Raw genomic sequence first — 3,384 nt, 5'->3', positions numbered from 1 at the left:
TGTCTAGCTGCAGCAGGGGTTGTTCGTTGGGAATGACATCACGTGGACCAGATGCCACATGTGGTGCAGTGCAGCTGCTATCAATCTGCACTATAGCAGAGCTTCTCAAATTTTAAAGAGCACACAAATCACCTGGAGATCTAAATAAAACATGCAGGTGACTTTAGCTGGTCTGGGTGGAGCCCAAGATTCTGTCTTCCTGAGGAGCTCCCTTGCCATAAGAATGCTGGTGGCCCCGGGGCCACCCTTTTGGCAGTGAAGCTCCATGGTAGGAAATATTTCTGAGTCTACAGAAAAACAAGACATCAGAGAGATGGGTTATCTCTTAGAGCATAAGTTTTTATCTGTGAGCTTGCCATACCCTTCATGAGATCTACAGTGAAAATCAGGCCATTATTAAAGCAGCAAAATTGAAAAAGCCATTTTTAAAGATACAATTGAAAGGAAAATGATGCCCATCGCCTGTATTTGATTCTTGATTGTAAAAGGAGGCAGATCGATAGACAGTGTCTCAAGAATGTGGTTCCTGGATAGGTTATTCATTGCAGCAAAGGTAAACTATGGAATGTGTATTCCACACTGAATTGTCTGGGGCTTTGACAAAATGTGATCATATTCAAGTCATCCTTTCACATGGACAGTAGCTCTCGGCAGTGAAAGGACTGAAGTGGGCTCCTTCTTGCCTCTCCATTTTATTGTTATGATGATGATTTGCCCCATTTCTTTTGTCTTCTCCCCATGAGACTGACTTAGCAATATGAAACCACAAATTACAAATGGTACCAAGAAATGATAGCAAGGATTGGTTGAGTATTGCTGGAGAGTGGCATGGAATCTGGTCGGCTCGGTTGCCTCCTGCCCGCAGATGGTGGTTACCCATGGGGTGGGACGAAGTGGAATTGGCTGGATCCTATGGGGTTCTTCCATAGGTTGTCATCAGTCTCCACTTTCTTTTCTTGGTTCCCTGTCTTAGCTGCCTTATTGAACCCCTGTTGAGGATCAACATGGATGCCTGACCTGGAAGCCTGGTACCCAACGAGGGGAAGGACACATCCATTACTGCCTCTTGGCTGCTAACCAGTCTTCCCTGTGTGGAATTTAATGGCAGAATTCAAATCATTACTCTTCCTTACTTTTTCCCTGAAGATGTCCCTTCTCCAAGATCTCCCCATGCCTGACCCTCGCTAGACCTTTAGTTAAAAGGCAAGCTTGCTTTCAATGATGGGGACTTGCTGGCTTTTCCACTACCATGGATCAAATTTGCTTTTCAAACGCCACCGCTGATGGTCTTGATGTGTTTTCCTGTTGCTTGTGTCACTCAGCGGTGTCTAGTTCAGCCTGGAAACATTCCCTTTGACTCTCTGTGATGTTTTCAAAGGTAGGAACAAACCCCATCCTTTTTTATTCTAACCCGCCATAGTGGCAGGTTAAGCTGTGATCACTGGTGGGAGTGAAGATGAGAGGAAGAGAGGGTCCCCTGAACTTCTCATACTTACTTTCCCAGAGACCACATGAGATGCTCTGCAACCCAGAAGTGTAGCTCTGAGCCAATCCTCATTTAGGACCCGTGCTTGTGTAACGATATGTTGGTGGAGGTGGTTCTGATCATCAGATAGAAAGGACTCACACTGACCCTCAGAGGTGAGCATGCTGGGCTCCAGCAGTACACTTTGTTAGTCTGCTCAGTGGCCTTGGCCTCCCACTCCCCATGCCCAGCGAGAACCCCCCTGCCCGCCACACTGAGTGTCATAAGGAGCCCTTGACATCAGCCTGTAAACTCTTCAGTGTCATAGAAGGATGGTGGGGAAGCCAAGTGCTGCAGTGGAAGGAGAAGACTAGCCAGGGAAAGAAGCAGGCAGGAGGTGAGCCTTGTCCTACAGGCTGAGTTTGGAGCTGTCAGCCATCGCTCTTATGACGGATGAGAACAGCCACAGAGGGAGGCTGGCAAGGGGTCCTGGAGCAAGAGCAATGACTCAGAGAGGCCGCCAGCCCTGTCACTGCTGCATTCATGGACTGTTGTGATGTGTGGCCAGAATGAAGGAGCCGACAGGCTGACCAAGGGGCTGTGGGCATTGAGCCCAGGACCCACACAGAGAAACACTCCCTATTGCATAATCTCCCACCTGCCCAGGGGCTCCAACTGGTTCAGTTCTTAATGACCACATGGACTTGGAGCATAAGGATGCAGACACAGCCCCCTTTGTCGGGATATTCTTAATATTCCAGACAGCAGTGAATGTCTGTATTAAAAGTAGCCGGGGAACCTGAAGATCATTAGCAGAAGGCAGCACAATTTCTGGGGCAGGCAGTCATTGAAAATGTGGTTTGGAAACCAGGTATGCGTTTTCAGCTGTGAAATCCATGCTGAACTCGGTCCCCACAGCAGGCCGCCTCTCACGTTTTCTCCTCTTTCCCAAAAGTGCTCTGGACATGACTAATTCTCACTGCTCTGGTCTCTTTACTGACGTCATTCATTTGTTGCACACTTTGAGCCAGGAATCATCCTAAGCACTTTACAAATAGGTATGCATGTTAGTTCCATGTTGCAGGTGGGCTGACTTGCAGGAAGGCGCAAGAAGTTAGATAACTTCATAACCAAGATCGCAGAGCTGGAGAGGCATTCTGGATCCCTGAAGTCTGACTCACGCTCCCACACCCTGAACCATTTGCTAAGCCTGCTCAGTCCTTCTTTTAAGCCTCCAGATAGAAGGCAAATCCTAGAAAAGAGGTCCTGTAGAACACAGCACAGTTCTCACTGCTGTAGATGGAGAGTAATGGAAAATCCCCAAGCAGTATTGAAATCTATAGACAATGAGTTATTGACCAGGTAATCACAGTAACCACTCAACACAGGAGTAGAGATAGTAATTAGGTCTTGATTCCTTCTGAAGTCCAAGGAGAGAGAATAGTGAGAATGCAGAGACCAACATTTTAGGATATGCCTTGGTTTCTGCTGACCATCTCCAGGTGGGAAACCAGAGGGGTCTCCATTCTCAACATCCCTGTGGGCAACCGGCTCATTCCTTTTCTTTATAAAACTAGGTTGAGCCTTGGCCAACATAATGAAAATATCAGAAGCAATAAATACGTATTTTGTCAAGTGACTGATTAATGTGTTCTCATAATTGGATGCACAGTGAGGCTCAGCTGAAACAGTCACAGACGACTGTTAACCAGGCCCTAAGCTGCCACACAGGGAGCATATTGGGTTGCATTAAAATCTATTAGCATTAAAATCTATTCCATGAGATCAATATGACACCACTTCTTTCTTCTCTTACTTGGAGGTTTCGACCAGCAATTTCCAACATCACCTCATCATTGCCATAAGCTCTTACAGCCGAGAGAGCCATGAGCACACAGTGGGCACTCATATGTGTTTGC

The sequence above is a fragment of the Homo sapiens genome, chromosome 20, assembly GCF_000001405.40.
Source record: "Homo sapiens chromosome 20, GRCh38.p14 Primary Assembly".
NCBI lineage: Eukaryota > Metazoa > Chordata > Mammalia > Primates > Hominidae > Homo > Homo sapiens.
Note: the sequence above shows the minus strand (reverse complement) of the source record.